Source organism: Homo sapiens, chromosome 6 (assembly GCF_000001405.40).
Source record: "Homo sapiens chromosome 6, GRCh38.p14 Primary Assembly".
In the NCBI taxonomy this organism is placed as follows: Eukaryota; Metazoa; Chordata; class Mammalia; order Primates; family Hominidae; genus Homo; species Homo sapiens.
In genome coordinates, this window is record NC_000006.12 from 98,541,888 (window position 1) to 98,553,751 (window position 11,864).

Sequence of the window (11,864 nt, forward strand, 5' to 3'; positions counted from 1 at the left end):
CCTACATCTGACGTTTCACAGGACATTAAAAAAATTTACCTCTAGAGCACAAACAGAATGTGGCCCAGATCGTCTTAAAACATCTCAGTCACCCATGTGAGAAGCGTAACCAATTTCAGCAGCACACCTATAAGGGAGAAGCAAAGATGTCCCTACTCAAAATTACTTTCACAATTAACACAAAGTGGCATCCTTCGTCGCAGGCCCTAGAAGGGGGCTGTGCAGTCAATGAGGTTTTATCTTTTTGGTGTCTGAGGAGAGCTTTGGCAGCAGAACAGAGCCAAGGTGTCAGAAGGACCTGAATCAGGAGAAACAGTCACTGCGTTCTGGGTTTTGTGATAAAAGTCTATTAACAGACTCCAGGGCCAACAACACAAAACCTTTCCCAGATATTCTCTCGTTGTTAAGGTCTTGTAATGGATTCTTTTAAAGGTACAAACTTTTAATTGTTACGAATTTGAAGTTATTTGGTAGGTCACAGATTTCCATTGAACCTACTGCAGGAAAATTTCTAAAGTAAACTGTTATAATTCTTTGTTCTTAAATAAAGTGTTCTTTATCTCTAAGGAAGCTGATAATATGATAGGTGCAGCCTTAAGGACTAATTATACTAAATAGCAGGGCATAACTCAAAAGAGAGACTACATCTATTATGTAAAATTCCCTAAAGAAACATTAGAAATTTTACATGCATTGATTGCTAGTTAGCATTAGAAAGACATTTATGAGGTGACTTCACCAAAGCCACAACTGTTTGCATTAGCAAGCAGACAACATAAGCTAACTGATAAGAATGCGGTGATATAATGCAATTAAGACAGTTTTGTCTGTTAATTAGTGTTTTCCAACTGTCAAAAAAAGATGGCTTTTAGGAGCCAAACTTATTTTACTGATTAAAAATTAGAATCCATCTTGCAAAGCTGCAACGGACCTTCTTTTGATCTAATTAAAGGAAGAGTGTGCATACTCAAAACTCATGCTTCTCTGACATAAATTAACATATTCATAAATGAGATAGATATTTTGCAATTAACATGAGACAACAAGAATAAAGCCTAATTAGTAAACATGTTTTCTTTATTAACTTGCAGGTCAAGCTCTGTTTTATTATAAACCAGTAATGATAGAACAGAGTAATTTCTTTTTCAAAGAAAAAATTATTGGCTCTGAAATTGTGTGGCACTGTATCATAGAAATGTGATTCGATTCTTCATTTCCAGACACCTGTTAGCTCATAACCAGAAGTATACACAACTGCTGTTTTTTATGCTCGACTGGAGAATTTCAGCCCAGAGCAAGTTTATGGGCTTCCTGAAAGAGTCCAATTTTACACTTATAACCTTAAAGGCGTTTTTACACTGCCTGTAGACACCAAAGGCTCTCTTAATCCTCTAGTGGATATGCTTCCTTCGATGTTGTGCCTTCACGGTTCTCATTAGATGAATTTCTTGGTTAGACTTTCAGTCAAAAAGAAGCAGCCTCGGCTCGCCTGTGTACCAAGTATAAATGTCTACCTGCCAAACTAGGTTATTGATTAGGAGCATATTATGGTTGCTTTATCTATTTATTTATTTATTTATTTATTTATTTATTTAGTCCAAACAGTTCCTAGAATCCGATGTCAACGGTCTCTTTCCTCAACCCATTTATCCCCACACTTCACTCTTTTCTGTCTGTCTAGGCTTAAAATGAAGCCAGGACGTCCCCTAGAAATCAATACACAGAGGAGAATATGCCTCCAACCCTGAGAACGTGTCAGATCCTGACTGGATGCCAGGCCATGGCATCTAGAAGACCAGGGTATTCCAAGTTGAAATAAATGTTCCAGGTACCGTCTCAGGGAAGAGTTTAATGTAAGAACACAAAGATCCCCTCAGGCACTCACATAGTCTCTTAAGGGTGCTATGGATCAAAGACAACCCAGATCACACAAGTTATGTGCTCAGCAGCTGTTTAGCACTGTTAATTAAACAAAATCTCTATTTTTCTTGCCTCACACTGAAAACACCATTGCTCATTGCTGCATTCTCTGCCTCAGAATGCTTCTGTTCTTTCTTTTTCTTTCTTCCTTTTCTTCTTTCTTTCTCTTTCTTTCTTCCTTCCTTTCTTTCTCTCTCTCCTTTCTTTCTTTCTCTCTTTCTCTCTTTCCTTTCTTTCTCTCCTAAAGGCTACTGTTTTCTAAATTCTTCACAGACTGATTCAAACTACACATTTATTTTTCTGATTTTCTATCACATATATCATCTCTACCACACAAGTACTTTGTTTTTCCTGATTGCTTTTTGCTTGCTAAAATGATCTTCTCTGCTAGACTATAGGAATAAGCAATTTGGCACCTCCATGTTCAATCAATTAGAAACTGTGATCTCAGAAAAATGTGTGGGCTGTGGTGTGCCTCAGTTTCTTCATCTGTGCAATGAGGATGACAATGGTACCTACTTCCACAAGGTAACATACTTGAGGAATTTAATGGAATACCTGGTAGATATTAAGTGTTCCACTGGTGCTATTTATGTTATTATTTGAAATGTTCAAGGAGCCTAGCATATCATTTGACATCTATTCATTTCTCAATAAATCCCTTTCTCGTTAACTACGTAATTTCCAGCTTAACAGAACCTAAGTATCTTGGGGTAGAAAGGACAACACATCCAATTAATCAGATAAGTGTTCACTGAGTATTTATTAATGTTGTGTGCTGCCGTTTAGGAAAGCAGTGCCTCTTCTCAGTCTATTCGACTGGATCTGGGGCAGCAGAGTAGCTATGGGGGCACCTAGGCCTCCAAATCTGGAGGGACACATAAAGTTAATCCAAGGAGTAAGTTGGTTAGTCTCACCCTTACAGAACATAAACACACAGTGTAGTTCATTTAGGAGAATAGCTTGAAGTACAGATATTTTTATGCCACAATTTAATTTTCCTACTAAGTAAGAAAAACCTGTCTCTTCTGACGTGGTCTGCTGCTGATCAGAATATTCTTTTGAAAGTATTTTAGGACAAGGGTCAGGGTAATGTCATACTAAGGTTCCAACCTCTTCTCAGACATGAAATATTCATAGATTTCTATTCAGATTTGCTCCTTTCATGGCCTCAACCTTCCTCTTTACATTCCAAATTCAACACGAAAGTTTATCTTTAGGTAGCCAGCCTTTTTTTCAGCGATAAAGGTCAGTTTTGACCTTGCTTTACTGACAGTTATCATTGCTATCCAGGATTCAGTTAATAGACCCCAGTAATACCGCACTAGGAATAAAAGTGGCTGGAAAAAAAAATCACACAGGTAAAAATTTATATGCAAAATAAGAAAAAAAGCATCAACATTTCCCTCCTGTTACCTTTATTTATTTGAAAAAATGTCATGAGAAAAAGAGTCTTAGACTTAATCTCCTTCAATCAATGTCAGCCACATTACAACTTAATGGGAGTTTATACTGCATAATATTATTTTCTTTGTATGAACCATTTTCTGATACCTTACATTTAGTTAAATGATTTATCCATGTACATTTTACATGAAGATAAATATGAGAAATGGTTTCTGCTTATATTGAGTGGGATAAGGAAGCAACTCTAAAATACAAAGTCAATTGGCTTAGCCTCTCAGGCCCTGATGTCAATAGCAGATACATATGTGTACAAAGAAAATCTATCTGAATAGCAATAGGGACCTGAGGGATAATATATATTTTTCTTATGTCTTTCTTCATGGCAACTCAGAATGCCCTCTTCTGCACAATGTCTTCTTACTTGTCACTAAACTCTTGCTTTAGTTGTTAGGCATGTCATCACCAGGATGCTCACTCTTTGCTTCTTTACAAGTTCTAACTCCAGGTAAAAGTTACTATGGTGCTATGGAATTTACAATTGGGTGGTTGGGTTTAGTTGGTAAGTTACAGAATAATACTTGTTGTCCAAAAACAATTTTGCTTCCCATGTATAGCTTATACAACCTTATACTTTTGTAAATTTGGAACAGGTTATGTGATTTTTTTAGATGTCTAACTGGAAACCCGCCAACTTATGTTTAGATTTGTAAAAATGATGATTCTCCAGGAAAAATGTACAACCTGAGAATTTTTCAGATTCTGTAATCCAAAGTTTCTTACTTGTAGAGGATTTTTTTTTTTTACCTAAGGCTGGATAAAATCCCAATTCACCTATTTTGTTGTCATTTTTTTAATTTTTTGTTTTCTTGCTTTTTTTAATTAGAAAAAAAATATGTATTCATTTGAAAGAAAAGTAGCAGCTGTTTCCAAATTCAGCTTCTGCATGCTATAGAGAGAGGAGCACACAATCTACCCAGCATCAAAAAGATTTTCAGCCAACTTCAGTCTTACCTCCTAGCCTGCATTTTATTCCTTATGATCACTCATGGAGCTTCAGACGATTCCATTTTTGGCAAACAATCAACTGAAACAAGTCATGATGAAGTAGGGCCTAACGTTGACACAATTTTCACTAAGCAAAAATACATTTGGAAAAAAAAATATGGTCTCTTTTGAATAGAAACCCTTATTTATAAATTTTCTTTATTTAAATAATATACCCTCAGTGTATACTGCAAAGCACAACATAAATGCCAACCACACTGTGAAGTCTTTTGCTCTCCCTCCAGGCAGAATTAATTGCTCTTGCATTAGGATTCTCACAACAGGGTTCTTGTACATCTAGTTGGCACTTTTTTCAGTCGGCTTTGAAATTGATTGTTCCCACGTCTGGCTCCCTCCCTGAACCATAAGCTCCTTGATGGCAGATTCTCTGTATCAATCAGTGCTTAGCCTCCACTCAGCCTTTGGAGCAAGGCTATCCTCTTAGAGACTTCTCATATGGTTATTTTGCTTCTCTGTCTTCTCTCAACTAGACTTAGAACTTTGAAGGAAGTCAGGAAATATTTCTTCCCCTTTGGTTCCCTGGGCCTCATATAACCCGAAAGACACAGTAAATATTTGCTGAATGAATGAATAAACATAATTTCTACCAACTTTTTCCAAAACCTTAAGGGTTGCCCCATAGCATTAAGTATACCATTTATCTCCTGCCCAAGCTCAAAATGTAAGCAAGCAACCGAAAAGGGGAAGGCCAGAAGGCTTTCATCAGATCAAGTCTATTGTTCAATGAATTGCCCATTACTTTTGGTTTGATAGCACTTGGAAAACCCTTAATAGGTTTGGCCCTGGGTTCCCAAACTCCCTTAATTTAAGAGCCATACGAAGAGAACATCACGGAATCTTATGAGCCCCTCACTCCCCAGGAACAGCTCTCTCAGGTCAGTGTTTGCTGACTTTCAGTCTCTGAAATTCCAGTCAGGCAGTCCTCAGCACGACCAAAGTTTCTTCATTGTAAAAGGTAATGGACTTGGAATAGAACTACCACTCTTCCAGCAAGGGCCTCAGCCCTTTCGTGTGAAACCCTGGCTCCCAAGCAGGTCTCTGATCCTTAGGTAACATCTAGTCAAACTGGTTCACTGTGTAATGCACGGCCTCCCACCTTCTCTGCAGGTTGAAGTCTCTACCCTTCTCCTTCCACCCTGCTCTGCTCAGTGGTGGTAACACATGCTTAAGAATGAAATCATCTGTGTTGTTCGGCTGTAAAAAGTGCAAGAATCGTTTTTTAAAGGATGCAAAAAAGACGACAGACTGTAACTGTGAGTCTGCAAAAGCCATTCTCTCATTTCATAGTGTAGCAGCATTTCAGAGTAAACCAGGCTGGCTTATAGCCTCCCAGCTGAAGAAACCAGGTAGCAGAGAGTTAAAACACTTGCTCATTGGTTTTCCCAGATCCTATTTTAATTTGCTCCCTCTTTTTGGACAGCTCTGTGAAGGCAGTCTGGTTCGCTGCCTCGCCATACTAATGAGACTCATCCATCTGCCTCTGTCATTGCCAGCCTCTCCTTTCTGCTGGAAGTCAGAGATGAACGCTCAGGACAGGTCCTTTCTAGGCTGCAGTACTTAATCATTTCTAAACACGCTAGATGGCCTCAGGCAGTGAAGGCAACAAGCATTTAACCCAGGCTTGGCAGCTCCAGCTTCCCCACACTCTGCCTGTAAGCTCTGATAATGAAAAGTTGCTGTGCTTTTACTCTCCACTTAACCAGATGCTCTTTGCTTCTTGGGGCGAAAGGTTAAATAGATATAAGAACCCATGCTAGTTTTGAAGGCTTTTATTAGCACTTCTTATAGTAGTGGGAGAAGAGGATGCTGTTGTTCCTGATCCATTTGTCCCCTGGGATTCATATTTAGGCTTGCGGCCTTGTTTTCTTACAAAAGGAACTATGTCTTTACCCATCATACTTTTGTTGTTGTTTTGTGGCACAAGAGTTAACACAGGCAGGTTGGATTTCTGCCATTTAATTAATGTTCAGATTTTATGGAAAGAATGGACCAAGAGGACAATATCAATATTGTTTAACAGTAGCAACACCTTTATTAACAATGTAGATAAAACATATTTTTTCCAGAGTGGCTAGGGCCTCTGATTTATTTTTCCACTCCATCTACTGCTCCATATGTCTGTAGAATCTGCCTTTTTCCCAGAGCTCATGTTAGTATAAAGCAATTGTCTGGGATGTGTAAGAATTAAGTATCCCATCATTCAGGCTAGACATGCAATTAGAAGAGTTGCACTAATTTCCACTGCTGAGACCCTGTCACTTTAATTTATCCTTACTTTCCTGCATTTAGGCCATCTCTGGTTGGAGGCCAGGGATTTTATATCGTTTCAGTCAATGGTGCTTTGATGTAGGAGGCAGGTGTGTATAAGATTTGGGAAAACAAATTGAGGGTTTACCTAGAACTGGCTAGAAGAAGCAAAATCCTTGTAGAGGGAAACATACATTCTCTATTATTCTACCGTCCTAGCAAAATAGTGGAGAGGAGGGGTTTTAAATCCAGAAAAGATCACTGAATTATAATGTCAGTATCCAAACATCTTTCATGATTTTTTTCCTCTGACGTTATTTATAAAACATTGTTTTGTTTCTACTGATCAATATGTAAGAACATTTCTATTTATCTGATAGCTTAAGCTATCATCTTGAAAGAAGTGCTGAAATTTAATTATCGACTTTTCTCTTTTGGTCTATCGAGCTATGACCAGGCTGTCTAACTAATTTTATAGCCACCATCACAATCCCTTTACATAAGTTCCAGACAAGCATAACTCAAAAATACATGGAATGTTCCCATGAATAGGTAGGAAATATCACTTCCTAAACATTTCCCCACAGAGACATGATAAATCCTATGTGGGCCAATTATCGCCTGATACATCTTTCTAGTCCCTTTTCTGCTTTGAACCAGTCCCCAGATCATGTAAAACTCCCAGAGCCGAAGCTAATTTTACCCTCAGCTGAGGGTAGCAGAATTCAGTCTTCAAGCAGCTCTAAAATCAGCTGTCCAAAGTGGGTGAAGCTTGTCATGATTTAAAATAAAGACATGAAAAAGTTGTATTATAAAACAATTTTGCATTCAGAGAAATATTGGAAAATTTTTGCAGATGATTGTTCCCTCCAACTCAGTTTTAAACAATGAAAGTATATATGTGTCCTGGTTCTTTTGAATGGAGACTCAGACAAATCGAATACTTGGACTCCAGGTTCCTTGCCAATCTCATAATTGGCCTCCATGACCTTTAACGTTATTTCCAGCTTTGAGAAGCTAATATTCTGCCTCAACCTCTGGGCTGCACTTCCTCTCTCCAAAAAAGCAAATAATGATAAGTACTCCAGTAGATTTCATTTAAAATAAATACAGATTAATAATTTGCACTGTGTCTTTCATAGAAGAGCTGTGACCAATTAATAAGCCACAAATTCACATTAGCTAATTAGTCTTCCAAACGTTCACAGGCAGATAAGCCATAAGACAGTGTTTAAACTTCAAGAAGTAACTAAGTAAGACTTAGGGACCCTGGCCAGGGGCAGACTCATTGAATAGAAAATCTCTATACGAACATCACTTCTGACTATTAAAATTTTGGGCTTTCCTCTGTCCTAGTGTTCAGGACAGAGAATGTCACCTAGCAATGTACCTGAAGGATGTAAAGTAAAAGTCATATTAATGTTTTCAGGGCATCTACAAAGAAACATTTTATAATATTTTATAGGCTCTTGCTACTCAATCTCATACTAAATATGATTATTCAATACTTTAGATCAATATATATTTTAGAATAGATTATATGTATGTGTTATTGTGTGTGTCATAAACATAGCAAATATCCCAGTTATCTATAAGCATATATTCCTACTTAAAAACAACACATATGCAGGAACACATTTATTGAAGTTTTATTGATTCAAACTAGTTCATGAAACTTCTATAGTTTTGTGATCATACCCTACAAGTGGACAGTAATAGATTAAGATCTGTTAAATTGATAAAAAGCCTTCATTGATGACTCAATGATATTTATAGATAAGTGGTTCTTCACTTGAAAAATAAACCTTTGTTAAAAATAAAGAACTTACTTATGATGTCTGGAAGAGAAACTCAAAATTTTTATCTGTTTCAAACATAAAGCAGGTGAACAGATATTCAGATCCTTTTATTTTTAGTAGTACCTTATGTAAATTACTTTGGAAGTAAAACAATAGAAATGTAGAACATAAATAACATGCAGAAAAAATTGCTTCAAAGAAGGATGTTATGGAAAGTTTTCCTATAAGGTATTTGCAACTCTTTAAAATCAGTGGACTAATTAAAAATGAGAAAAATCTGATAACAAAAGGGAATTAAAAAGACTGGATGTGGAAAATATTAGATATCCTTGAATAGTCTTAGAACCAATAAAAAGTCTCAAAAATTAAAGAGAAGAAAAAATATGTTTCAACATATTCTCTTGAATCGCAACAAAAAATATCTCACTGAATTTCATTTGGAAAGAACACATCAAGTCAAATTCCTATCTTTGCTTTATTGTTTTGAGAACTGTGTGTCTTTGCCTCAGACTTGGCTCTTAGGAATACTTGATAAACAGAATTTGTGTACTTGAACATGGTAATGTCATTCTCAATTCATTGGCCACAAGGCTGTGTTCTAGAGACCACTGTTTTATAACAAAGGTCTTCAAGTACTTCCGGTAATTAAAGAGAAAGGGAGCTGTGTTTTATCTAATGTGGTATTAGCAATTGGAAGAGAGGGTATTTAGATAACGCATTTGCTCCTTTCCATCTCTAGTTACCCACATGTATATATGTAGTCCTGCTCTACTCACTATCTGGAGATTCTCTAACATCAGAACTCACCCTAGCTGTGTATCAGATGGGCCGGAAGGAGCAGTGAGAGGTCATTTAGTCAGTCAATCAGTTAACAAGGATTTATTGAGTGCCACGGGGTACACAGCTTGGTGCTAAGCAGGAGCCTATCTCCTTGCCTTGAGGCAGGGCTGCACATCCACCATAACAAGCACATAAGTTTCAATTGGCACTGTCTCCTGATTTTACTTATTCAATAGCTTGTTAGTGTCTAATGGACTAAACAAACATCTAAAACTATCTAATTCATCTCTGTATGTAGTATGTATGTGTGTATCTATATGTATGTATATATAGATAGATATGTAAAACTTGGCATCTCTTCCAGGAGATATGCCAAGATATATTCACAGCTTTATATACACATGTAATTCATGTATTTCTGTGCATATGGCAGTCAGGGGAATATATCTAATCAGTAGAACATGTTATATTCCAGATGTTTTTTTAATAATATTTTCTCACTATCACTAATAAAAAATTTCCATAGTTGTTCTACTTGGACAGTTTGATTGGTCTTTAATCCCAAATCTCATTGAAAGAAGGAACACAAAGCATTTTATGTCCTCTAGAATGTGGCAAAATGTTGGCATATCAGCTGCTTGTGAGGCGTGTAGACAGAATGTCCATCTTAAAGCAAAGGAAACTATAAACCTATCCAAGATGCTTTATTTTTTATTACTTCACTCTTATCTTCTAGATTTACCTTCCAATATTCACCTCTGCCTTGCTGTTCAATGCTACATCTTCTCTTTTCTCCCACATAAAGGCTGAAAATTCCCTTGTCCTGTCCAACTTCATTGCTCACAGACTAAATTCTGGTCTTTTCTTAATTCTTTTCCACTGTGTCCTTCCACTGGGTCTTAGAATCATTGACATCATCTATGATTGTACATGTGTGTCTCTCTTTTGCCAATAGCCATGTGATCCCCAAACTCTGCTTTCTTGTGCAAATGTGTTTGAAAGTCACAATTTCTACTGCAACCTCACTTCCAAATAAAGATTTCCCGTAATTGGATTTCTATCCCTCTATCCTTAAATCTCTGTTCTTAATTATGTCCCTACTTTGATACCTTCGCTTAAGCAAATTTTTAAATAACTATGAAAATTAACTGTCTCTTTGACAAGCTCCTGGTTTAAAATTTTTCTTTGACCCCTTGGTTCTACTTTGAAGCCATATGACTTGTGTAGTCATCTTCTCCTCTCTCCAGACTTTAACCTTCTAAAAACATATCCATTCTCTACATAAATGTGTATGTAGTATGTGTATCTATATGTGTGTATATAGTTACACAAAGGTGCAGAGAATGGATATGTTTTTTGAAGCTTTAAGTCTGGAAAGTAGGAGGAGTAGTTGAGCATACCCATTCTCTCAACCATGTACAGAGACCATTGTTCCTACCATTCTTTTTCATTCTTTTTTTTTTTTTTTTTTTGAGACAGAGTCTTTCTCTGTCTCCAGGCTGGAGTGCAGTGGATTGATTTCGGCTCACTGCAACCTCCACCTCCTGGGTTCAAGCCACTCTCCTGCCTCAGCCTCCTGAGTAGTTGGGACTACAGGTGCACGCCACCATGCCCAGCTAATTTTTGTATTTTTAGTAGAGGTGGCATTTTACCATGTTGGCCAGGATGGTCTTGATCTCCTGACCTTGTGATCTGCCTGCCTTGGCCTCCCAAAGTGCTGGGATTACAGGCATAAGCCACAGCGCCCAGGCTGTTCCTCCCATTCTTATTCCCAGTGCAGACAACTTTGCTAGTCCAGGGAAGAGGAATAAGTGCTCTCACTTGCCTTAAGTCTTCATCCAACAATTACCATTCTCCAGTGGAATTTACTTTGCCTTTAAAGATTTTTTTAAATCATAAAGCAGAAATAAAAATTGAATGCTAATCTCATGAAGTTAACATTGTGCAGAAGAAAGAGTATGTCATGTTTGTATGCTTCTATAAACATTTTGAAGACAGAAACTGTGTTGTATGATGTTGTCTTATTACCTAGTTTGAAACAGGACAGCTCAACAAATATTGTTATCATGCCAATAATTAATTGAGTGCTGTGGTAAGAGAAAGTTGCTATTTGAAGACCACTATGAAATAATCTCTACGAAGAAAACAGTATTTTTTCTGATTCATTTTAAATAAACTTTGCTGTACAGAGCTGAAAACTGTTGTCAATGGGAGCCTGCTGGGAAACATTTAATTAAATAACCTGTGAGACAATAGGAACTACTCCAAGCTTTGGAGGTAGGAGACACTGGTTTGAATTCTGCCTCTAATACTTACTACTTTTGTAATCCTTGTTGTACAAGTTACTTCATCTTTGCCTCTCTAATCTCCAGTTCCTTATATTAAAAAGGGACATAATAACTGAACACTAAATGTTAATGTGTTTAAAGCATCCAGACAATTGCCTGACCCAGAAAAGGCACCAAATAGGTGGGGGCTCATAAAGGAAAATAATAACATCTGCAAACTTAAAATAAATGACTTTTTTTCTTTCCTTGAGAGTTTGAGGGAGAGAAATTGGACCTAATGCTTTCAAAAAGCAAAAGAAGAAGTAGGAAAACACTTGTGTAAAATTGGGGCAACATTGCTGCCACTTCCATGCTCCTC

The 11,864-nt window shown here is 37.2% G+C and overlaps 1 annotated feature.

Moving 5' to 3' along the window:
* Positions 8,832–9,333: an enhancer, noted in NCBI's record as "NANOG hESC enhancer chr6:98998595-98999096 (GRCh37/hg19 assembly coordinates)". NCBI's record gives its function as "activates a minimal SCP1, AML or CMV promoter by ChIP-STARR-seq in naive H9 embryonic stem cells {active_cell/tissue: H9 hESC(naive)}" and the evidence as "EXISTENCE:reporter gene assay evidence [ECO:0000049][PMID:30033119]".